The sequence below is a fragment of the Homo sapiens genome, chromosome 1 (assembly GCF_000001405.40).
Source record: "Homo sapiens chromosome 1, GRCh38.p14 Primary Assembly".
In the NCBI taxonomy this organism is placed as follows: Eukaryota; Metazoa; Chordata; class Mammalia; order Primates; family Hominidae; genus Homo; species Homo sapiens.
The window spans coordinates 7,069,730-7,095,773 of record NC_000001.11 but is presented as its reverse complement, the minus strand read 5'-3'; the positions used below and the strand labels follow the sequence as shown (position 1 = coordinate 7,095,773).

The window sequence follows — 26,044 nt, the reverse complement described above, 5'->3', positions numbered from 1 at the left end:
TGACTGGGGGGCTAACTCCAATTCAGAGGGCAGTGTAGAACACCCTTCTGGCTGGCACGTATGAGCCACGCTTACTGACAAAGGGAACCTTTGCCTGGAGCCTGGTTCTCCTAGTTGGTTTGGAATTCACGGCAGTGAGAGGCGGAGAGGAATAGAGGAGCTATTGACGGGCTCCCTGGGAACCTTCACAGGCACAAAAGCAAAGGGTATGGGCTTTGCAGTGAGATCATACTGGGTTCAAGTTCCAGTTCTAGCACGGACTCACCATGCAGTCCCAGGAGGGCACGTACCTTCCATACCTGGCAGAGCTGCCAGAAGGGTTTCAAAGCACAGCATCCAGCCCATGGGCGGTGTGAGAGAACACAGTGCTGGCTCAACCGGACAATCCTGGGACTAGAAATACCCGAAAAACTGAAGTGGAGAAAACCAGGTCCCTTCCTTCACAACACTCAGGCTCACCTTTCTATGTCACTTTTGTTCATTTTATGGATATTTCTTGAGGGTCTGGGAGGTGTCCACACTGTTCTAGGAGCTGGGGGTGCCCCATGAACAAGCCCCACTAAAAATCCCTCTCCTCTTCGTGCTAACACTTTGGAGTGGGTCAAGTAATGAATACATAAATTAGGCAAGGCAACTGCGACAGACACAGTGTGTCAGAAGGCGATGAGTGCTCCAGAGAAACGTAAAACAAGAAAGGAGGAAAGGGGGCTGGCTGGGTGGGGGTGGGGGTGAGACTAAACTGCATGGCCAGGGACACCTCCCCGAGAAAGGGACACCCAGTCAAGGCCTGCAGGAGGAGCTGGGAGAACATTCTAGACAGAGGACACTCTTCTTTCCAAGATTCTCAATTCACCTGGCAGGGTGGGGAGCATGAAGTTCCCTGGGGTCTCCAAATGGTATTATTATCACACTGAGCACACAGCAAGTGCCAAAAAAACACGTTCCGCAGGGTGATTTTTCAAACCGGAGGTCCCAGTTGCTGAGAGTACAATACGGGCTGTTTGAACGTTCAGCATTCAGCTCTGTTGCGATACCGCGGCTGCCCCCAGGGTCCCCAGCCCTGGGAGCCTCCGTGTAGCACACCTCATTATTAAACAGGTGAGCTGGGGCTCCCGGGGCCTTCTCTGTAATTAGGGCAGTATCTGAGCAAGGACTATATTTATAACCCCCAGCCAGCAGCAAGCCACAGAGACAAGCAGGGGGCCCCTCTGCAGCTTCTATACCAACATCTATATGTGAACTGATTACAACAATTAATTTAATAGGGATTCCTCCACACAAACAATGTATCATTTTATTAGGAAACTCTATAAATGTCAGTGGTGCAATTCATTTTTATTAATTTTCTAAAATGAAATTAGCAGTGGCGGCGGCAGCAGCAAACAGAAGTTGTATTGCCTTCTCATTCAGCAGAGTATTGGTGTCATTAATTCCTTAATACCAGGAGGCCAGTTTGTATGAACTCAGCAGTTAACTGCACCAATTAATTTCAATACTAGAGATGGGGTGGGGGTGGGGATCCAAACACAACTCAACAACTAATTTAGGAAGGTCCTTGAACAACCACAGCAAGTTTTGCTTCTCCTGGGACAAGAAGCTTTCAAGTGTAAACATGGAGTGGATATTATAATACTAATAGGAAACCTTCCGTCTTCACCCTCTGCCTTTAGGAAAGAAATTCGTCCTTCCAAACCCAGAGAAATCCTGGCAGACGCCTGTCGAAGTCAAAGCATCCAGCAGGTTGGGGACTGCCCCACAGATAAGAGGCACAGTGACACCTGTGCATGGACAGACCCGACGGCATGGGAAGCAGAATCAGAAACGTGACCACATTCAATCCTCATCGTGACCCAGCAAGGGTGGGATCAACAGCAACTCCATTTTCTATATGAAGAAGAAAAACCAGGGCTTTTAAAGGAGCTAAGATGACCTTTTCACAGTCGCAAAGCCACTGAGTGACGGAGCCAGGACTCAAACCCGGACTTGACCACATCTGAAACCCACCTTCCTTCTTCTGCCAGGCACACACCCTGTGCCTCGGGGTGGGGTCTCTTGGCTCTATGTATATTCCAGAAAGTCATGCGAGTCAGGCATGACCCTGAGTGACATCCCCTTCTCAATTGTAACCCAAATTCCAAAGGCTGAAACTCGAGGTAAAACCGCTGCCTTGAAATGTTCTACTGTTCTGCCGTCAAAGGGTGGCTGAAACCCAGCACGGGTCTGCGTATCTGAAATCAGATGTCTGGCCCAGGACGCATTCCAGAGAAGCTCCCTCTCTGGCTAAGGAGGAGCTCTTCTCTTTCCACTTAGATTCAAGGAGTGTTTCAGCGGAGAGTGAAGGGCGCAAGGAGAGGCTGGCGGCTGCTTGAGATAAGGGCCACCCTTGGAAGTCAGGAAATGGTCCAGAGGCAGAAATCAGATAAGCCTCCTTCTCCCCCAGAAAACTAGGCCAGTGGCCCTCAAAGTACAGTCCCAGACCAGCCACATCCTACTGCCTGGGAGCTTGTTAGAAATAACACATGTTCAGGCCCCCTGCACCGCACCTGCTGAATCAGAAACCCTAGGGTGGGGCCCGCATTTTAATGAGCCCTCAGCTGATTCTGATGCCTGCTCAAGTTTGAGAATGATGTCCTCCAAGAAGATGCCGCAGAAGAAAGGGGAAATGAGCATGTCAGGCTCTCTAGTTTAACATGGCCGTATTCACCAAATAGTGCACTGTATTCCCATCCTCTCCACCGCCCACCCCTGCCCCCACTCTGTGGAGGGATGTCCTTCCCAGCCCCATTCTTACTGGGCTTGGCCAGGGGACTTGCTTTGGCCAGTGGATTCATCAGCAGGCATGACATATGATGCCACATCTGAGCAGGAGTTTCAACTGCACCTGCATCAACTGCCTTGGGCTTGTAAGCCTCTGCCCTCCTCTGGGAGACGCCAACTTCCCAGGCAGAGGGGGCTTCCTCAGCCTAGGTCCCACAGCAAAATGATGCACACAGCAGACCTGACCTCAACCCAAAGCCACAGGCAGCCCACAGACCCATGAGCAGAAAATAAAGATTTGTTGTTTAAAGTCACTAAGCTTGCAGGTCGTTTCTTACACAGAATTATCACAGCAAAAGCTGACTGATATAAATTATTTGATTTTATAGCAAAGGAAAAACCATGGTTCCAGCAGGCTGAGGTTTTGGGGACTCCTGCGGACAGACTCTCCTCCCATTCTCAGGCCAGAGGTGAACCATTCAGAGCCACCTGGGGAAGGGAGCCTCAATAACTAACCTTCCTTCCACAATGCCCTCTAGCCTCCTTCAAAGGGGAGGATTGTGCCCTCACCTAAAAGATGCTAACCAGTAAATATCTCAGCCTAATAATGTGGTATTTTAAAATACCTTCTAGAAGGAATAAACATTCCCAAGGATGACCTTTCCCATGACTCAGGAAGGATGAACAGGTCAAGCTGATGGGCCACGGGCACAGAGGACACACTCAACCCTTCCCTGGTCCTAACAAACCTGGGGACTCTGGGGCTTCTGTCCAACGTGAAACCAACTGGACATTCCACCACTTCAGTTCAAGCCTGCAGTCCAGGCATCCTGTGTAAACCACACTCCAGCTACCACCCCGCCAGCTAATAAACACCTGGGTCCTGTCACTGCTAACAGAAAACTTACGGCAATTGGAAGAGAGTGGCCATGTATTTCCGAAGCTCTAGATTGTAACATTCCAAAAATAAAAACCTAGAGTTGGGGAGGACCAAAAGAGGCTGCCTTTTAAAATCAACCCTAAGTCCCAACATCACCGTTCACAAGATGGTAACATCACTGGTGCTGGCGGAACGCAGGTCAGCTATATTTTCACTAATTCCCTCTATTCCCAAGTGGTGAGAGAAGCTAAGTGTTTGCGGCAGTTAGCAGGTTCAAGGACATTTACTGCATAATAAACTGCGAGCTTAGCCATTGCTTCTGATTTGGGGGGATCTCTTTACCACCAATCAAGAACTTGACTTTCAGTTTGTAGACAAGTTGAGATAAAAGTGGGCAGTTAAGCTGGTTTCTCTTTTTTCAAAGCACGTTTCTAGAGAACACTAGTGGCAGGCGAGCAATTTCCCAAAATAAACTTCCCCTGAGGCTCCTGCCTGTGAAGCCTTCCAAGCACCCGGCTGAAGGATGCAGCCGTCAGGTTAAAAGTTCCAACTGGCGGATGGCACTTGCACTCTTTTTAATCCATCTGATCGTATTCACTGCCACAGTCTTATGTCAATGAATGAGACCTCAGTGTCGAAAGCCATCCAGCACAACATGGCATTTTCAACTCGTTGCCCATGAATTCACTGGCCAAATCAGGTAATCAATGCAAATCAATCCACTTATGGTACACATTTGAAAAACTGCAAGATCTGGGACATTACCTTGTCTTAGGGGAGGTGGTTAGCCATTCTTCGTGTTTCTCAAATGTTATTAAATAAGCTGCAATTTCCTGAAACAGAAGAATAAAAAGATAATAACAACAATTAGCTCACATTGGATCCTGAGAGGTAAGAAAGTTTTTGCTGTTTCCCAGCTGCTGTTTTCATTTGCGAGCCTGGAACTCCATCCCTGCTAGAGAAATACTCGACTTGGACTCTGTTTCTATTTTGATTTTTTAAGGCCTTTCCATTCAACCTGTCACACGGTAGTAATCAAAGCACTGGGCCTCAAAAGATGAGTCGGTGGCAAGGACAAAAATATTTCTCTGTGGCAGGAAGACATCAGACACCATTTCAGATTCTAAATGTCATTAATTTAGGGAGGGAAAAACACATGCCAACAACAACAATTCTCCACGATGCGAGACCATAATTGGAAAGTTTCGTCCTTTTCTGAAGCTGGACGAATCTTTCATCTCTGTCACAAGAGACGTCGCATTCTCTCAGCTTCATCCCCAACCCCCTGAGCCAAAATCACACAAAGATTAAAAAGAAAAGACACGATAAAGCCATATTCCAGAGAGGAAACGGGGAGAAATAAGTTAACCTTTCCCACTACTGATAACTTAAATCTAGTGAGCGGCACATCCAAAAGAAGAGCAACGTCAGCAGAGTTTAAGGTAAAGATGAGGAAAATGTGGGCATCTGAAGGCAAATTAAATATTTATAAACACAACAACATCACTGCAGATAGAATTACTGATTTATTAATAATTTCCATAAAAAGCCAGTGAGTGACATCAACATAAGTCATTGCTCCAGCTCGAGGCATGATATGGCCCATTACTTCCACCTCCGAAAGGATCTGCTAACATGAAATTGGCAGGGATTGTAAGTTAAATTAAGGCTGGACTAGTACATGTCTCCCTTGATCTTGGTGATGCTACAACACGCAGCTCCTGCCCTGACTATCAGGAAAATTCAGAGGGGAGGCCTCCACCTCAGCTCTCTCTGCAGCCGGGGTTCCTAGAGGGCTCCTGGGAAGGTAGCAGCCCCTCTGCCTGGAGGCGAGCAGCCTCTTTCAGCTGGGACATAATGGAGTTGACACCAGTGACCAGAGATGCTAAACTTGGCCTTGAGAAGGAAGAGAAGCCCGGTAAGCAGAGCAGGTGAGAGTAGAAAATGCCCCTGATGCCATGCAGTCCAAACACCACAGGCCAAGAGTGGAGATCAAGGCCTGACATCCCATGGAGCCGGCCACCACAAGGCAGCCAGTGATTGGGAACTGAGAGCCCAAGCCACCTCTGTCCGGAAGCCTGGACCTGACAAAGAACCTGGGAAGCAGAAGCCTATAGCAAAAATAGAGTTGCTTCACTGTGCAAGTTTCTATCACTGACTGCAGCTGAAGAAATCATAAATAAGCAGCTGATCAACCAGCACATTGTTCTCTCATCCCTGAGCCTTTTTACGTGTTATTTCCTCTCCTTAGAAAAATCTTTCCCTGAGGTCTCACTGTAGATAGATCCTTCCTCTGGCTGGCCCTCCCTAACTATTCATGATGGCGTCAGTTATCCCTACTGCTTGCCTGGGTGGCACTGGCACCTTCCCCCAGTTGGCAGGATTTATCACTCTGCATTCTAATTGCTTGTTTACTCAGATAACATCCCCCACTGTAGCATGAGAAGGATAAGGAACACGTTATCGCTGACACATCCCCTGGACTTAACAGTGTCCTGAGGCACATAGGAAGCACCTGATAAGTGTTTGTTAGACAGATGGCCGGATGGATGGGATGGGATGGGATGGGATGGGATGGGATGGGATGGGATGGGATGGGATGGGGCTAGGAAAAACGTGCATGGCAGAAGTAAATATGCATGCACACGTGAGTGAGAGAGTGTGTGTGTGTCACTGAAGATAGTTGACACAGGAGCTTAAAAGCAGCAAAATGCAGCAGTTCCTGACTAAAACTTTGCCAATTATTTAATTAACTCTATGTCACTGTAGGAAGGCAAAATAGTAACACACTTAAGAGCACATGCATTGGAAGCAAACAATGCCCTGGCTTTGGGTACCAGCACGGCCTCTTATTAGCTGTCTCATTTTGAGCACATTACCTAATCTGTCTAGACCAGTTTCCTATGAAACTGGGAGACTATCAGCTCACGAGGCAGTTCTAAGGAATGATCATTCTAAATACACTGGCTGGCAGAGGACAAGCCCCAAACAATAGCTACCATGAATCGTTATAAGATCTACGTGGTGTGAGCCACCTGTCTAGCAGCCCGATGAGTTCACAGGTACCAAAATGGTCCAGGTCAGAGGCTGCCACCACTGCTGGATTAATCATCATCTGTCACCTCCACCACCCCGGACAGCACCACGTGCCCACGCCTGCAGACAATGAATGGTAACATCGGAATGACCGTTCAGAGTTGTTGGTTTGTCAATTGGTTCTCATTTGGCTTCACAAAACCAGAGCACACTGCGGCTGGAGTCAGTACGTGGATTTACTAAGCCACTTGTCACGTGCATCAGCTTATCTACCTGAACTTCAGGAGATCTGGTATCCAGAGGAATAGGCTGTGCCAGCTGGAACCCCCTGATCCATGCCCCTGCTCAGGACCATGCTGAGAGAAGTGACCCTTAGTGGCCCAGGGGATGGGAGGTGCAGTGGATCCCAACCTCTAAACATGTGATTTGTTCCAAAACCCTGGACATCCAAAGAAGACTTTCATGGGCATCCTTCAGCCAACGCTCACCCCAGCCTGACAGGGCTTCCTACTGCTATGGCCCGCCGAAGGGGAAAAACTCCTGGCACTACTTACTGCCTTCTGTGTTTACTCTACAAACACTTACTGAGCATCTACTGTATACCAGAAAGGGAACAGGACCACTTTGAAGCGTGCAGTTAAAGAGCTCACAGTCGAGCGATGGGTACAGGCAAGTCAACATGATAGTGTGTGTAAGTGCTGTTACGGGGTCACCTCTGTGGCCAAACTTAGCAGGGGTCACGTCATGTTTAATGAGCTTCTCTCAAGCAAGCAGAGGTCCCAGGAAATCACGCTGATGTAAGAACTACCTACATCACCCGCCACTCCCTCCTCCACCCCAAAGGTAAATTTTGCTTCTCCCAATCCAGGACACCTCCCACACAGAGCCCCTCTGAGAGAAGCCTTTCCGAGGAAGCTGATGCACAGGCCCAGGCTCCCATCTCTGTTGTGCTCAGGTTGGCTGGGCCCCAAAGATGGACTCACCCGCCATCGACTGTCCCATGCTGCTGCATGAACCTGGCTGGGTGGAGCATGTCTGAGTTACCCGTATAATGCCAGGCCCCTGTTGCCCAGCCTTCCCAGCCCATGGCCCTTCCCCAGGCCACCCCCTCACCAGATGGGCAGACCACAGGTGAGCCCGCCCTGCAAAAGCTCAGGAACTCGTTTGGGGAGATTCGCTAAAGAACGAAAACCACACAAAGTATTTGGTGCTAAATGGCATGGAGCCATGTAAAAGCCATCCAAATTCAGAGTGATTGTGGGGAGAAGGACTTCACCATCTGTGTCATTGCTTCCATCAATGTCACCAATGCTAAGGTGGTGGAGGTACTGCCCTAGGACTTATGTGGGACCATCTCGTTTAATCTTCATAACAAACTATGAAATAGGAACCATGGCCACTTTACAGGTGTGGAAACTGAGGCACAGAGTGGTTAAGTGACTTGCCTAAGGTCACATGGCCAGTACCTGTAGAACCAGAACCCAAACCCATGCAGAATGGCTCCAAGGCTCACATTCTGCACCACTGCTCTGAATTTCAGAAGGGACAGCCACAGTGTGCTTGGATGAGTGAGGAACTGAACTTTTCCCAGCCCAGGCTGACAGCTCCCTGCTCCCCACTGACCCAGGGTCACTTCCCAGCCCCACCTCCCTTCAGTGGACCAGGAGGAGTCCAGACTGAATCTCCTTCAGGGGGATTCTCTCCTTCCAGCAGGATCAAGCTTATTGCCACCCCAAAAGCCTAGTTCAACTCATAAGATCCTCGACTTCAGTGATAGGCAAAATTCCTTGTCTCCATGGAGCCCTTTGCTTAAAACATCATAGGAAGCAGGGAAAAAGCAACACACAGAGCGGGAGATGCTCCCGCCGACGAGGGGAAGGAGTTGTGAAAAGAAAGGTTTTTAGCTCAATTGTCTGGCCTCTCTCTCTTCCCCCAGAGGTCCACAAACCTAGGACCCTAAAGGCGGCAGATGAAAACACAGGTCTGGTCTATCTCTCTTGACAGAGGAAAAAAACCGAGGTATAGAACAGAAAAGCACTTGTCCAAGCTCAGCATGTTCATGGCGGAGCCAGGCCAGGACTCCTCACTCTCCGGGCGTGCATGTTCCTTCCCCTGCACTTGCAGCCCCTCAAACACAAGTCTGGCTTGAAAGATTCATAGGAGGCTGGGGCAAAAGCATGGCCAAAGGAAGTGAAAACAGGTGCTCAAACAAAAACACAGACACATGCACACAGTAGCATCGCTCACAGTAGCCAAGAGGTGGACCTACCCCAAGTATCTGCAGATGGATGAATGAAGAAACAAAATGTGTCACAGACGTACAACGGCATGTTATTCAGCCATAGAAAGGAATGAGGTTCTAATACCGGCTACTACATGAATGAACACTGAAAACATGATGCTGAGTGGAAGAGGCCAGGCATGGAAGGCCCTGTGTTGCATGGTGCCATTTATATGAAATATCTAGAATAGGCAAATTCATAGAGACAGCATGGAGATTAGTGGTTGCCAAGGGTTGGGGGAAGAGGGTGATGGGGAGTTATGGCTGATGGGTGTCGGGTTTCCTTCTGGGGTGATGAAAATGTCTGGAGCTAGATGGTTGCACATCCTCATGAATGTACTAATGACCACTGATGGTAAATTTTATGTTATGTGTCTTTTACCACAATAAAAATAAAAAGAAGAAGGAGGCATCAACATCCAGCCAGATGTGGCATTAGGGGGAAGGAAATTCCAGCCATCCAACCCACGCAGACAGCCCCTGAGCCCTAAGGACCACGTGTGTGCGTGCCCGGCGGCCTCCCCAGTGCCCTGGCTCCCTTAGCTTCCTCCTCCTCCCGGATCCTAAATACCACATCGATGCTGAGAAGAATGACTCGACTGTCAAGATGAAGAAATTTGCTGCAGGCTCCAAAGCAAAGACTGTCCAGCTTGCAGATTTTAAATGTTTAGTTTGTCCTTTGGACGTTCAAGTAGAAAAACGGCCGCCAAGGTATGGCGTCTATGTGCTGCAGGGGCTTTGGAGAACAAACTGGCAGGGTCCCAGACAGGCCCCTCTGTATCTGTTCAGCAGATACAGTTTGGTGCCTGCAGACCAGGGAGGCAGGTGGGCCCTTCCCCAAGGCCCCAAACAAGACACATCAGGAAGGGAGGCCTGGGCAGGACTGGGGACTGCGATGCTGCACCTGGTGTCACTGCCTGGTCACACACCGTGCTGCCATGCATCCATCTCCACCACCCAGAGGCAATGGTCACCCACCATCCAGTCCCCAAGCTGATGGGTTTTGATAGAGGACTGCAAAGCCCATGTCAGGAGCCAGCCAGCTGGGAGCCAGCAGGGCTGGAGGGTCACGGCAGAGGCTGCCCCATGGGGGCTGGCAGGTGAGCATGCATTGCTGTGCCAACCTGACTCCTGCCCTTCACGCCTCAGCGCCCATGTGCCAGCTCTGCCCACATAACCTGTCAGGTCCTGTTCATCGCCCAGCCCCTCCCAGGGGAGTCTCCCTTGCTGTCTCCCTCCACAGTGCACTGCAGCTTCTGGAACGTTCTCAGCAATGGCTGCACTGCTCAGACTTTCTCTTGCTAGCTCTATGTGGGTGGTGGTTCTCCCTTCCTGGTTTTTCAGTCTTCAGGGAGGGTGTGTGTCTCAGTCCGTCTGTCACTGTAGAGCCCCGTACAGTTCCTGTGTCTGAAGATGACTGCTGACACAGCAGAGCTGAAGGAGAGATTGTGAAGTTCTCTTCCAAAGGATGTCACCTCAAGAGCCCATGCCTGAGGCTCCCATGCACAAAGGTCCAGTTGCCATCGAGGCTCGGGCCCTACGTGAGAGGTCACACAGCACTGTTCCTCTAAGTGCCCCTCATTCAGGAGGCAGCTCTGGCCAATCTGTGAGTGCCAGAGTTGCACTGTCCAATGGAAATAGAACCTGAGCCACAACACAAGGCACGTGTGTCATTTTAAAATTTCTAGAAGCAATACCTAATGCATGCAGGGCTTAAATCCTAGATGACGGGTTGATGGGTGCAGCAAGCCACCATGGCACATGTATACCTACGTAACAAACCTGCACGTTCTGCACATGGATCTCAGAACTTAAAAGTAAAATATAAAAAGATTTTTAAAATTTCTAGAAGCTACATTTTAAAAGGTAAAAGAGAAGAAAATTTAATAATATTTTATACTTTAACCCAATATATCCAAGAGAGTATGATTTTACTAATTTTTTAAAAAGTAGTCACAAGCTATCTCATACTCTTTTCCCTACTAAGTCCCTGTGTGTTTCCCACGGACAGCCAGCCCCTCTAGCTGGGCTCAGCCGTGTCTCAGGTGCTTGATGCCACACATGGCCGCCGTACTGGATGGCCAGCTCTAGATGCAGACATCACAGGAACCCGCAAACACATATGCCTCCTGGAGCCAACGGCAGCCACCCCGCTGCACCCTCCGCGTCCCACATGTGAAGGAAGCTGTTCCATAGCACACGCTTCAAGGAGAGCAGGGCCCCCTGCCCCCCTCGGTCCACCTCTGAGGTGACGAGCCGTGTCCCCTCCAGTGTGTGGGGAGGCTCCCGTCTGTGCAGGGAGGGCTACGCAATTCTCAGAGGGGCTGGATTCACCTCAACTTCTCAGCCCCGGCTCTCTCTGCTGCCCCCACTCCCTCCCCAGAAGGAGCTATGCACTGCAGGCTGTGCTTTGTCTCAACCCCATAGAAGGGTCCAGCCCAGAGAGATCAGCCTCCCCTCCCACAGCTTCCCCTGGAGCAGCCCTTAGAAAAAGCAGAGTCCCCCATAGGTCTCTCAGACAGTCCGTCCTCCATCTGTCTTCAAGATACAGGCTCAATGTCAGGGAGGGAGAAAGGTCTTTAGTGCTCACTGTAACAAATTAAACAAAAAACAACAAATGTATATATGTGTGTACATATATTTATATATATATATGTATTTATACAAATATCTCCTGAGTTCAACTAATAAAAATCTCTCTATAGTCTATACAGTCTCAGATATATTTTGCACATAGAAACATGGATTTTCAACCAAAGTATAATTTCTTAAAGCTTGGTTTTTATGAGAGTTCTGCATAAGGGTTTTATCTGTAAGGGACCAAAGCTGAGGAGGGGGAATAAAGGGAAAAAAAAAAAGCCAAGGCTCCCCTAGCAGCTGGCCCCAGCATCTGCTAGAGCCACAAAATGCAATTATATTACTCCCAAACGAGAAGTAAAAATATCTTGTTTCCAATCCTCTTGGTTTTAAGACTCATACTTAATGTCCTCTGGGTATTTCAGTGGTGCCAGATCTCTGTGTTATGTACTTTATTAGGGATGTGTGAATGTCATATTAATGACTTCTAACCAATATGTTTACGGTGAAAGCAAGTTTTCCCAGAATCCACCACTCGCTGCACTTGACAAAAAATAATTGGCCTTAATTTAAATAAATAAATAACCAGGCCCTGCCCTCTCCCAGTGGCATCTTCCCCACCGGCTTTCTCCAGGGCACCTGTGCATGAAGCCGACGGGCCCTCCCCCATGATAAATAGTCCAACCCAGGTCCAACAGGGCAGGGCTCCCGTCTGAACATTCCTGTCCCTGTCCACTGATGTACTTCCCAAGCACCCAGCTGGCCAAGCCAACACCCTGCACAGGATATCCCGGACCCCCCACCCACAGGTCTAAACCAACATCCCCAATCTTGCTTTCAAAATGACCAACTCTTGCCATCAACTGTTAGCATATAGAAAAATGGGTTATATTTTTTTTATTTGCATGGAATGCAACGTAGCTCTACTCTGACAGTTTATGAAAGTGGCAGTGGTTAAGACTGTAAGGATCCAAGGGTGTCTGGAGGACTGTCTACAAAATGGTAACTAGCAATTCAGAATAAATTCCTAACAGCCTGGACTTCTGAAATGAAGCCTGGCCCCACTGGCTGTCTGTTATTGAGACATAGTAAAGCATTCTTATGACTATCAAATTACCAATCAGTGAAGAAACAATGAGCCACCACAGAAACATCCACAGCCAGAGTCAGTAAAGAAGCAATTCACCCGGTCTTTCATTCATTTATCTACTCATTGGTTCAACCATTCGATGAATTATTGAGCACCTACAATATGCCAGGCACTATGAAAGGCCCTAACAATACAAAGACACATGAGTAACGGCCCTGGGAAATACAGCTGGGAAGACAGATGGGGTGCAGGATCCAGGGCTATCACATTCAAGTGCAAAACAGACAAGGAGTGCCAAATTAGCAGCACGGACGATGTGTCCATACTGAGAAGAGAAGGAAGGGTTGTGTCAAGGAGCTAACATTTCAACTGGGTCTTGACGAGTGAGTAGGTTGCCCAGCAGACAAGTGGTCAAGGTATCAGGGAAGGGAAAGAGCATAAGTGAAAGCAGGAAAATGGGAGTAGCAAATGTGTTCAGGGAAATCTGAGTAATATAAAGTAATGAGAGTCCGCAGGACAAGGAATAGAAAGGCAGAACTCAAAGCCAGGTGGAGGGGGAGGCACCAAACTGTGGAGGAATTCAATGCCAGGCAATGGAGTTTTATCCCGAAGAACCAGGGGAAGGCTTTTAAGTAGATGGGAGCCACACAAAGAGCTGTGCTATCTATCTATCTATCTATCTATCTATCTATCTATCTATCTATCTATCTATTTCGAGATGCAGTCTTGCTCCGTCACCTGGGCTGGAAGGCAGCGGCATGATCTTGGCTCACTGCAACCTCTGCCTCATAGGTTCAAGAGATTCTCCTGCTTCAGCCTCCTGAGTAGCTGGGATTACAGGTACCTACCACAATGTCCAGCTAATTTTTGTATTTTTAGTAGAGATGGGGTTTCACCATGTTTGTCAGGCTGGCCTCAAACTCCTGACCTCAAGAGATCCACCCACCTCAGCCTCCCAAAGTGCTGGGGTTACAGGCCTGAGCCACCACGGCTGGCTAGCTGTGCTTTTTAGAAACATCACTCTGGTGGTGGCCTGGTAGAGAAGAGGCCGCTGATTGGAGACCATGATTACAGCCCAGGATAGAGGCAATAGGATCCTGCACTAAGGCCATGGGAGTGGGGAAAATGGAACAAAGCTGAATGTTTTCAAAAGCAAGGTAAATGGGGCTTGAAACCAAATGGCTGGGGAAATGAGAGGCAGTGAGGACATCTCAGAAGCAAAGGTCACAAATTGGCGGCCCAAGGACTGACTCCACCCAGAGATGTGCCTGCTTGGTCCACACAGTCTTCTTCCCATTTGGCTTATCTGCCAATGTTTAAAGATTGAAGGTCAGGGATTTCCAGCTTCTCTTGAAAAATAAAGTCTGGCAACCCCAGGCCCACATGCTGCACAGCAACCACTGCTTGGCGCTGAGAAGCTGCTGTCCATTTGGATGGGCCTGAGAGCTCCAGAGGACCACCACCTCAACCTGCTGGCTTTCTCCACTGTCATGGCCGGCTTGGATTTGTAGGCCCTTGACCTTGGGGCCCCTACTCTGATATTTATGGCATTGGAAACTGGGTGCACTGTAAGACCATGAACCAATATAGGCAATCCAGAAAGAAATAGATTTTAAAACAGTGCAATGCTAACCAGAACACTCATTGCCCCTTAATACAGTGACATGTACTGATGAAGCCAGATCCAAGACTGCCCCAACTTCTATTTTGATATTGTTCCAGTCGTCAGTTTATTATTATCTCTGAGTTCCAATTTCACCCTTCTTTGTCCTTCTTTGTGATACTGAAGCTGGACCCTGTACATATTTCTCCTTTGCTGGCATAGCAGAATGTGAAGCTTCGTCAATAGACAGCAACGACGTGAACCTGCAAGATGACAGTGGCAAAGACACATCCCTTGCAGACCTCTTACCATCATCATTATTATTATAATCATCACTATTATTCAGAGTGGAGTCCAGTGGCCATGAAGATGAGCTCCAGCTGTACCCTCAGGAGACAGTCCCTCCACTGGCAGGCTGCTTTAGACCAGCTCTGTTCTAATTGACATCCGCAAGTGACAATGAGCCACTTCTACAGACCACTTCCAGCCCAGGCCCTTTGGCAGGCAGCTTGTTCCTTTGGTAGCCATGCACTCTTTGAAGAGGTCTGAATTTTGGCCAATGTCAGGAAGGGTCTTCTAGTCCTTATTTGATTTGTTGTCTGCTTTTCCTCAGCCTAGAGATAGCAGCTGCTGCTTTACCCCTGATATTTTGGAAACACTTAGAATTCTCTTTTATCTCCATTAGTAATCAACCACCCTTCTACTAGCTAGAAAGTCTTTATATATTAAATTTTCTGTTCAAATAACCAAACATGCTTCTGTCTCCTGAGAGGATCCTGACTGATATAAGAATAATCCACCAGCCTGGCCAACATGGTGAAACCCCATCTCTATTAAAAATACAAAAATTAGCCTGGCATGGTGGTGGTCACCTGTAATCCCAGCTATTTGGGAGGCTGAGGCAGGAGAATCGCTTGAACCTGGAAGGCAGAGGTTGCAGTGAGCCAAGATCGTGCCATTACACTCCAGCCTGAGTGACAGAGCAAAACTCTGTCTCAAATAATAATAATAATAATAAATCCACAGTGCTGAAGATGTTTACAATCTCACTGATGTGTAATCCTAGAAAACACACTAAAAGGTAGAGGGAGAATGAAAAAATACCTGAAAGAGAAGCAGCATGTATTTGGGAGGAGATATCAAATTGCCGTATTGAGGTCTTTATAGCAAGTTTCCTAGATGCCAGCCAGATCATAGTTTGAAAGGCACTGGAGGAATATATGTCCTACCTTTTAGTTTGTGAGAAGACCTGAATCCACCTATTTTGAGAGATTAAAAAAACATTTCTTTTAGAATAGAAAAAGTTAATCCATCTCCCTTTGGTTGTATGATTTGGGGGAAGTCACATGATAGCTCTGTGCCTCAGTTTCCTCTAATGTGTGCCATGAATCTATAGGTATTACTTCATTTACTACAATTGTGTTATCCCATATTTCAGGGATTAAAACCTATTTTCAATCAGCATCATGGAGATATAATTTACATACAATAAAATGTACCCCATTTTAAATGTAAAGTCCAGTAGATGTTAACACATAAATGTATTATGTATCTATCACCATATTCAAGATGTAAAACAATTTCCAGGACCATGTAAGGATAATTTACTCTATACGGAATTTTACACTGACAGACTGTTCCCCCTTTCGGCACTCAAGAGATCCCATTCCATTGTCTTCTAGCTTGCATGATTTCTGATGAGAAGTCTGCAAAAATTCTTATCTTTGTCTATAATTTGTCTTTTTCCCCTCTTCTAGCTGAGTTTAAGATTTTTTCTTGCTGGGCACTGTGGCTCATGCCTGTAATTCCAGCACTTTGGGAGGCCGAGGTGGGAGGATCGCTTGAGGTTAGGAGTTTGAGACCAACCTGGCCAACATGGTGAAACCCATTTCTACTTAAAAAAAAAAAAAATTAGCCAGGCGTGATGGTGTGTGCCTGTAATTCCAGCTACTTGGGAGGCTGAGGCACAAGAATCGCTTGAACCTGGGAGGTGGAGGTTGCAGTGAGCCAAGACTGACCACTGCACTCCAGCCTGGATGACAGAGTGAGATTCTGTCTTTAAAAAAGAAAAAAAAAATCTTTATCACTAATTTGAAGAAATCTGATCATACTGTGTGTGCCATTCTGTGGTTTCTTTGTATTTACCTTGCTTGGGGTGTGTTGAGCTTCTCAGGTCAGTGAGTTTATAGCTTTTGTCAAGTTTGGAAAACTGTCAGCAATTATATCTTTAACTAAAGAGCATTAGGCTTTAGGCTTTACTCTGGCAGTTATTTAAGTTACTTGTGGATCAGCCTGACCCTCTCAAGGCTTATTTTTAATCTCTGTAAAGGTGGGTCTACAGCACGTTTTACTCCAGAAATGTTGTTACCCTACTATTATTGCTTCTTCCTTCCGGAGTCTCTACTGAATGTCCCAAATATTCAAGGACAGCTCCCCAGTCGGGCTGGTCAGAATGCAAATACCTCCGAGTCCTGTATGAGCTCTGTGAATTTTATAGCCCCTATGTGCACTTTGTCCAGTTTTGTGGGGTTTCACCTCACTCATCAATGGTTTAGTAGTCAACAGAACATCCCAGGAGAGCCATAAAAGTTTCTAGAGCACTTTCTTTGCCAGGCCTTCTCCTGTATGATATTCTGCCCTGCAAATTCTAGATGTATCAACCTCTCCAAACTCTGATATCTGTCTCCTCAGCTCAACAAGATCACTGTACTCTTCTTGGAATACCTCCCTGAAGATACAGTCTTGAAATGCCTCCATGCAGAAATACAAAGTGATTGTATGGTTTACAGTCTTCTCTTAGCAACCACAGTCCTACTCTGACGATCATCTAATAGCTGAAAATATTTATTTCACAGGTTTTATCCAGTTTTATCATTGTTTGTAGCAAGAGGATGAATCTAGTCCTAGTTATTCCATCACAGCCAGTGGCAAAAGTCTCATCATAAATTTTTAGACTTTTATTTTATTCTTTGAGAGGTCAGCAATCTTTCAATGAAGGACATAGCCAGCCTAAAGAAACAGGGTTAAAACTTTGAGGGTGTCATTGTTGTCTCAGAGACAGGCTATCGTAAGCCCGTAGAGATACAGATTTTCTCAAATAACAAAAAGTGAGAGGGAGAGAGAGTGTCTGAAGACGACTCAATACCGATTCTGCCTTCCTTAACACCAACCCTCCTTCACCTCTACCCCCAGATGAAGATGCAGACTTGCTGATCTGAAGGTTCAGTTCAAGAATCAGAAGAGCCTAAAAGAGCACAGATTGTTGTTATAAGTCCTTCCAGAACAGTGATATAAACCTGAATATAAAACAGAAGTAGTGTTGCAAGAATTTGGCTTCTTCTTCAACCTTGGCAGGATTCTATGTGCGTAGAAAGTGTCACTGACAGCCACACACTGCCAACTCCCATTAAGAACTAAGGACAAGGGATAAGCTATGCAAAAATATGCTGCATCCACTTGGTCTTTGTGTAGCCACGTCCCTTTGAGATAAATTCTGAATCCATGGCTAAATAAATCAGGAATTTATATCAGAGTGTGTGTATGTGTGTGTGTGTGTGTGCACGCAAGCTCTTCCCACCCATAAATAACCCCACCCACAATGCTGAAAAGCTCCACTAACACCTCTGCTTTAGAACATTAACCAATACAGCCCTTTGGAAATGGGTCGTAAGTCATTCAAAGAAGTCAGAAAAGGCTTTCATGGTAGCAGACAACAGCTCTGGTGCCTACAGGAACACAGCAGAAGTGGGCATTTTGCCTCGCTCCAGGCCCTTCCAGCCTCCAAGTACAGCAGAGCCACCTAACTCCGAGCAACCACGTTTCCTTGCAGAAAAACACCGATGCTCATCCTAACCCTTCCCCCAACACAAACCCAATAAAACTAATAAAAACAGAAGCCAGCCATCTTAAAATTAACACATCCAAGATACAAGCAGAAACCATTGATCAAAACCTCCTATCTTCCCTCACAGCTGACAGCTCCAGAGAAGCCCTAACACCCATAATGGAATCCCATTATCTACAAAAGAAACTCGTTCCAGAGAAGAGTCACAAAGAGAGAATCAAAGGAGGCTGGCAAACGGGGAGACTCCACCACTCCCCTCTGCTCCCATACAAGGGGTACAACACTCAAGCAGAGAGAGCCATTAGAACTGCAGCAACGGGGAGGCACTTTCCACGAGTTACAAAACTGAGAATGAAATCAAGGCAGAGTCCAGTGGGAAAGGAGGGTGTGAGAGCCTGCTTCTTTCCATCTGTGCAAAAGCAAAACAGAAGCTTCTTTCATACAGGGAGAAAATAGGATCCAAAAAAAAAAAAAAAAAAAACCTTTCCTTAAATTCCAGAACTGCCTGCATTTGGAAAACACAGGGATTTCAGCCAAAGTAGGGAGCAAGTAAGATTCATTAGCAAATGCCTCAAATCCTTAATTCACACTTCAAACAAACAAGGTAATTGTGTAGCTAACAGAGTGTGACTTGATTATAGGCCACTGGTGGCCATTAATAGATGAAAGGTGTTTGGATTTCAATAGTGTTTGAATTTCATAACCTGCCTTCATAAGACAAGTTCAGATTAGTCACCACCTTTATTTGCTAACACCTGTGATCATGAATCCCACATGACAAACAAGCAACCCAGCTTTGAGCATTTGGAATTGAAGAGTAAACAGGAGGAGAATTCATGAATTTTACAGAGGTAATTGTTCTACCCTGCTTTGAAGAGGAGTAGAGGTCGGTCTCAGAAGACCTTAACATATGCATGAACACAGCCCTCCTAGCTGACACATGACTCAGAAGACCCGCTGCTATGTTGCCACTGCTTGGGAAAGCAGAATGGGACTGGGCTCCAACACTCACATATTATTAATCAATCACGCCAGTGCCCCATTCCCAAAGACATGAGCCTGGGTCCACGTGAGGACTTAGTTCAAACTAAAATTGGTGGATGTGTCAAAAAAACTGACCACTGATAAGTCTATATCAGTCTTCCCTTTAACCAGATGGGCCCTATCCTTAGAACCTCAGATTTTATTAGAAAGAAAAGAAGAGATATCTTATTCCTCTTCTCTTGCTCGTTAATGTTATCAAGGAGTAAGATGAAAGATAAGGAGCGCAAAAGCTCATATTGTGTCACCTGAAGAGCAGCATGGGCTGCAGGGAAAAAACACAATCAAATATATCTTCCTGAAAACCTTGTGATTCAGCGATGCAATAATGTCAAAGCCATAAAAAGGGAGCTTGCTTTTCAAAGGGTTACAACAGAGCAATAGCAAGAGGAGGAGGACTAAATTTTTTTTCCAGTCCTGTGAAAAAGAAAGAGGTTCCAATAAAACGAGGCCCTTCTTGTCCAACGTGATGACAGTCTACAAAGTCAGTCCCAGCAGATCTGCAGCCAGCAACACTCCCAGGAGAGGAACCCTGATGCATTATCCTTATCCTCATCTTTAAAGTTCCACTAATTCCCTGGAGATCTGGGTCAAGCATTAAAGGGAACATAAGCCATAGTGAAAACCTAGGTCTTCTCTCCAATAAGCTTATGATCTACGAAGACCAGGCACCTAAGTTAGGGTCTAAAATCACTGAGATTGGGCCGGGCGTGGTGGTTTACACCTATAATCCCAGCACTTTGGGAGGCCGAGGTGTGTGGATCGCCTGAGATCAGGAGTTCAAGACCAGCCTGGCCAACATGACGAAACCCCGTCTCTACTAAAAATACAAAAATTAGCCGGGCGTGGTGGCACACACCTGTAATCCCAACTACTCGGAAGGCTGAGGCACAAGAATCACTTGAACTCCGGAGGTGGAGGTTTCAGTAAGCAGAGAGAGTGCCACTGCACTCCAGCCTGGATGACAGAGCAAGACTCCGTCTCAAAAAAAAAAAAAAAAAATCACTGAGATTGAAAGTGCACCACGGGAAGTCAAAGAAGAGCCAGGTCAACACAGGCTGGAGAAGTCAGAATAAGGAACCAAAATGTGACAGCAGGGAAGGAAGAGCACAGGGCCGGGAAGGGAGCGATGGGCTGCTGTCCTTGGTGCTGAACCAACGCTGTGCTCCAGGGCAGCAATTTGACTTCTGCAGTTTGTGGTAACCAGTGAGTCCTGAAACCAATTTAAAGTGGAAATTGGTATTGTTTTAATCAAATGGAACGGAGTGGAGTGGAAAGTATCAAAGTGCACCATAGGTAACATTGTTTCCTGAAACTTCTGTCCAGATATTATCATCATAAATGAATATATGTATATGTGTTCTGGGTTATAACATGAACTAACATTTCTGACGACTTGCTAAGGACATAGCTTTGGCAAACCATTGCTCTAGGGCCCAGTTTCTTCTTTCTACCCTTGGACACTGAAGACTCCCGACCACTTTTTGCAGGAATTATGACCAAAGTTGTGACCAAGAATCAGCGGTAGGAGAGAACACAAGATGTAAATCAAGAGAAATACAGAATAAGAACCACAAAGAGATTGTGAAGGGAGAGCTGGGAATAGGTTGTTATTGTTTTCACTTAACAGTTACCAAAACTGTTTGGATATTTTTCCTGAAAAGTTGAAGTAGGAGGCATGTCTCCAGCTCTACTTCCAGCTCCACAGGGGTTTCAAGAAGAACATGACTGCATGCCAGCTCACCAGAGCCCTCACATGGAAGGCAACACTGTCTGCTAAAGGGTGTCTGTCCCTTCATCCTTGGTCCTCACACCCAATGAAAGGCTTTAATGTGTGTTAAAGGCTCTAACTGTAAACTGGGAATAATGATCGTTCCTATGTGAGAAGGTAGTTATGAGAATTAAATGAGCTAATTTATGTAAAGTACTTAAAACAGGGCCTGGAATCCAGTGAATGCTATAAAAGGGTTAACTATTCCTACCATTTCACTTGGATATAAGTTGAGATGGAAAATGTAAAGATTCCCTGGCACATAGCCATTAAAAACATTAATGAAGAACTTAATGCTTACACTAACAACATTGAGGAGAAAAAGCAAGATACAACACTATATAACAGTATTATCTCAAATATGTTTTTAAAGAGTTCATAAAAGTATTGGAAGCAAATTCACTAAAACATTAACAGCAGTTGGATTTGGGTAGGAGGCCTTAGATAAATTTCTTTTCTGCATATTTTCTTCTATTTTCCTATTTTTCTACAATTAGTATGTGTTTTTATAATTAGGAAATCCTATACTTCAAAGACAGTAACTCAAAGTCAAAATGGCTTTAATCTTGAAATGTGCCATTTTGCAAGACAAGCAATAAAACTGAATACAGGAATGAGGGAAGCAGCGTGCTTCATTTGCACAGCCATACAGATAAGCCACCACTTAGCAGGAGTGTGGGATTTCTGACTTTCTGATCTTTCTGTCATTTCACAACTGCCAAAATGGGGAATTTACCCAAACTTGTGATTGACTTCCAACCCCAGGAGGGTAAAGTAACAGAGATTACCTTCAAAAACCCAGGACACAGAAACACCAGGGCAGATCCTCCTGCCCACTCCTCAATCAGACAGGCAGCAGTCAGTACCAGCAAACCTTTTAAGCCCTTACTATGTGTTGAGCACTGAGTTTCCAATAACATCTCATTTAATCTTCCTGGTAACTCTGTGATAGAGGTGTTGTCTTTGTCTCCATTTTACAGATCAGGAAATAGAATTTTAAGAGTTAAGAAACGTTACTATTCCATCCTTATACTCCCCTTCAAAGCAAACTTCCTTTGCAGAGTGTTTATATTGCCTGCCTCCAAGTTCTCTCCTTCCATTCTCTCCCAAGCCCATTCCTATCAGATTTTTACCTCCACTATTCCATCAAGACAACTGTTGTCAAGGTCATCAATGATTTCCACATTGCCAAAGCCCATGGCAAATTCTTAATCTTAATTTTACTTGCCCTACCAGCATCTTTTGATAACCCTCTCTCCTCATTGAAACGTCATCTTCACTTAGCCTCTAACAAGCTCACTCTCTCTTGACCTTCTGCTTTCTCTGGCTGTTGCTTCTCAGTTTCCTTTGCTGGTTCTTCCTCATCCCCCTGTCCTCTAAACATCAGATTGCCCCAAATCTCCCCTGGGCCTTGTTCACCATCTCCACTCCCTCCCCAGTCATCTCACCCAGACTCAGAACTTTAAACGTCATCTCTGCACTGACTACCCCAAAATTTATGTTTTCAGCCTAAACTTCTCCCTCTGAACTCCAGGCTCCTATATCCAGCTGCCTATTAAACAATTCCATCCAAATATCTTCTAGGATCTTAAACTTTACATGCTTCACACATGAACCTACCATCACACCCACACTCACACCCCTTCTTTCTGTAGCTTCCCCCCACCTCAGTAGATGACAGCACCACCCTGCCAGTGACTCTGGCCAGACATCTGAGACTGATCCTTGTCCCCTTTCCTTTGGAAACATTAGAAGCAAATCTGTTCACTCTACCTTCAAAATATGGCCAAAATCCAACACTTCTCCCATCTTAATTGCTGCCGCCTTGGTTCAAGCTACCAGCACCTCCTCCCATCTAGATGACTGCATCTGCCTTTTGGATCTCCCTGCCTACACTCTTGCTTCTTCACACTAGTCAGGGGGACCCTTTAAAGGAGTGCCCATCTCACCCAGACTCAAAGCCAAGGTCCTCCCAATGACCTATCTGTCCTGCATGATCTGGCCCCAGGATTCCTCTGATCTACTCCTTCCACTCAGCCACACAGTCCCCTTGCTACTCCCTGAACAGACAGCAGGCTCCTGCCCCAGGGCTTCTGCACCTGCATCCCTTGTGCCTAGAAGAAACTCTTCCCTCAGAATCCTACTCGGTTCACTCCCTCACTTCCTCTGGGTCACAGCTCAAATGGTCCCTTCTGGGTAAGGCCTCCCTAACCACCCTGTGAAATAGCAACATCCCCTGACACACTGCCTGGCCCTCCACCCCACTTTCTTTTTTCTCCACAGTCGATAGTCCTGCCTGACGTTCTGCAGTGTACTCTGCATCTTGCTATACTATTTGTTGAATGCCTTTCTCTAGTCCTCACTGGAATGCAGAGATTTTTCTCCATTTTGATCACTGCTATATCTCCAATCCCTAGAACAGCACCCAGATTTCATAAATATTGAATGAAGAAATGAATGGATAAATGAATGAATGAGCAAGTAAATCTGTTCAAGGTCGCACAATAAATGCTGGTGCCAGGTTTCAGATTTGGGATGCGTGCCTCCGGAGCCCACACACCTCGCATCCATACTCCCCTGCCTCTGGCTGCCCAGACATGTTGCCTGACAACCTCAAAAGTCAGAAATAGCCAACCAGCACACAGCCAGGGAGGAAGATGGTATAAGCCCCCATGTGGCTAATGGAACCAAGTATCTGAAATAAGATGTTTGAATTGGAAAACTGAGGACATATTGCCATGACAGTAAAACCACGTGTCGTTCAGCTCAGCTGGGATAGGTCAGCATTGAGAGTGGTCATAGGGCTGATTTCCATGTAGAGCGGGGTACCCACAAAGCCCCACAAAGCACAGAACAAGCATTTGCCCTTGATTCCAAGAAGGCTCAGGAGATGCAATGCAGAAAAGCCAGTACGAGTCCATCTTCACCACTGGGGAAATCACCCAAAACCCTGATCCTACCAGCAGAGCCAACCTCTGCTTCATCCCTCAAAGACAGCTTGGACAAACACCTCCGTCCTCTTTGCTCATTTGGATAATGGCCCCCCAGGCAGGAGGACACGGGTATTTTCAGCACATTATGGCCCAAATCCTTTGTTTTAATTGGTCCCAGGCATTTCCACTTTTAGAGCCTCCTTCACTTACTTGGTTTAAAGAGTCAATCTCTGAATGATCCAATAGGAGCCCAGAGAGTAGATAAGATAGTGAGACTAATCTATAACATTTGTGTTTAATGGTTAGATATTAATTGGCTTTTTAAAAAGTGCGTAAATCGGTCCATTTTTAGTCTTTCTAATCTGTTGGTTCTCATTAATGAAGGAGCAATATTCATCAACAGCTCTGCACTACACATCACCTTGTAAAACTATAGTCCGTTTATTTTTAAAAAATAGATTTATCACGATTTGAAATATAGAAAGTCATTAAAATAATAATTAAAAACACAACTACAAGCACAATAAAAGTTTCATGATAATAAACTACATTTTAATGTATATTAATTCCCCTAATGATTTACTCCATACATCTTACAGGGTGAAATCAATGTCTGTACCAAAAAAAATTCAATTAAATTCTATTCACTGTATCTTTCAAGTGAGTCTATTGTTTGCTTTTGTCACCTATCAGGCCATTTGTCAGTTGTTCTAGCTCAAGATTACAAATAGAGGGGACATGGCCCCATCAAGGTCAGAAGAAACACGTCCAAATCCTCCCCAATCCACCTTTACCATCTCCTGTGCATTTGTCACTGATGACCTTGTTTGAGGAGAGGAGGAGGAGGGGGAGGCTCGCTCCAGTCCATACTCCTAAGCAAGCCATCAGTCTGCGGGCTCTGACTGGCACACTCTCTCTCATGCTCAGCCAGCCTGTGGGCCTCCAAGCAAGCCCCTGCAAAGAGCAAGCTCAGACTGTCCCTCTTTAAACTTCCTCTTGCCCCAAAACACACACCAAGTCAGCGCCTCTCTTCCAAAGCTCACTTCCCCTCAGTGTTCAGAGCCAGAAAAAGCACATCTGCTTTCCAGTCCCCTGCACCAAAGCAAGTCTTTGCCTTGCCTGAGTGATTTTTCTAGACTTAACACTCACACACAATCTCCATGCTGAGAAAACACTGCTGGCGACAGTTTGACAAGCTGGAGGGCTGCCTGGTGGAGGCGACTGGGAGGACTCCCTCTCTGGTCCCCTCCCTATAACCCACCCTGCCCAGAGATGCCTCGGAACCAGCAGGAAGACCTGGGTTCAGGGCCAGGCCTGGGTCTGAGTTGCAACCTGGGATCGTCGGCTCAACCACTCCCTTTGCTGGTGACCACTAGGGGGCAACAGGCATCACCGTGATGAGAGAGAAGGTCGTGCTCAAAAGGTTGTGCAAAGCCAGAGGAGCTTTCGACTTTGGAAGGAAAAGAAATCACTGCAGAGCCTCATTCTATCGCTGCGGGAAGACAACAGCGACCACCAGTATCACGCCCATTTTTCAAGTGAGGAAAAACAAGTAACTGAATGAAAAATGATTTACTACGGGACCCAACATGAATTAGTGTCCAAGCTGAAATAAACCCAGATGTGGCTGCTGCATATTCAGGCTCCTTCATGAATTCCCGTGAAAGTCCAGAAAGTGCAGTACAATATCCACGCCTCCTTTCTGGCCCCTCCGTAGCTGCGATGTCGGGGCGCCTATGAAGCCCTTTTGAGCCCGCCCCCATCTGATGCTGCTGTTCTCTGTGTGGGCAGAGGAAAGGAGAGGCCAGTGCAGCCCCTGAGGCTGGCGGCTCCGGACACTTCGGGCCCCGCCTCTCAGAAAAGCCCGTCCTGCTCCAGAGAGCAAAGGGTGCATCCTTCCGAGGGAGCTGCGGCTCACCGGAGGCCCCGCACATCCCCAGCGGAGGAGGGCGAGAGGACGTGAACCAGAGGCCGCGGCAAGGAGTAGCAGGCGCAGAGCTCTCATTAACCAAGATGGCCTCACGCTGGTGCCGGGCTTTATAAGTCTCAGCTGCACAATGCTTTTTAAAATATAGGTGCAATTTGGGCCTGTGGTTAATACTGTTTAATTTTATTTTGTACTGCGTAATATTTTCCCAAGTTAGGCCCAGGGTAAGTCTGGAGTCTCAGCTCCAAACTTTGCTGATTTGGCAAATGGATCCAGTTAGCAGCCACACACAAGCCCTCGCTAC

General features: G+C 46.5%; 1 protein-coding gene across 25 annotated transcripts in view, besides 3 other annotated features; it reads right to left on the bottom strand.

The window, feature by feature from the left end:
• Positions 1–26,044, bottom strand: part of CAMTA1 (calmodulin binding transcription activator 1) — a 984,253-nt gene that overhangs the window by 673,933 nt on the left and 284,276 nt on the right. For all 25 annotated transcript variants that reach the window (XM_011541084.3, XM_011541083.3, NM_015215.4 and 22 more), the window contains one exon: positions 4,403–4,470. In XM_011541084.3, coding sequence (XP_011539386.1) covers positions 4,403–4,470 — 68 coding nt within the window. The remainder of the gene's footprint in view (positions 1–4,402; positions 4,471–26,044) is intronic.
• Positions 2,173–2,367: a silencer, noted in NCBI's record as "fragment chr1:7153467-7153661 (GRCh37/hg19 assembly coordinates)". NCBI's record gives its function as "represses an EF-1alpha promoter that drives an FKBP-Casp9 reporter gene in an ReSE screen in both phorbol 12-myristate 13-acetate-treated (for megakaryocytic differentiation) and untreated K562 erythroleukemia cells {active_cell/tissue: K562 | K562(+PMA)}" and the evidence as "EXISTENCE:reporter gene assay evidence [ECO:0000049][PMID:32094911]".
• Positions 13,105–13,275: a silencer, noted in NCBI's record as "fragment chr1:7142559-7142729 (GRCh37/hg19 assembly coordinates)". NCBI's record gives its function as "represses an EF-1alpha promoter that drives an FKBP-Casp9 reporter gene in an ReSE screen in phorbol 12-myristate 13-acetate-treated (for megakaryocytic differentiation) K562 erythroleukemia cells {active_cell/tissue: K562(+PMA)}" and the evidence as "EXISTENCE:reporter gene assay evidence [ECO:0000049][PMID:32094911]".
• Positions 25,090–25,209: an enhancer, noted in NCBI's record as "active region_89". NCBI's record gives its function as "activates an Ori minimal core promoter by ATAC-STARR-seq in GM12878 lymphoblastoid cells {active_cell/tissue: GM12878}" and the evidence as "EXISTENCE:reporter gene assay evidence [ECO:0000049][PMID:35858748]".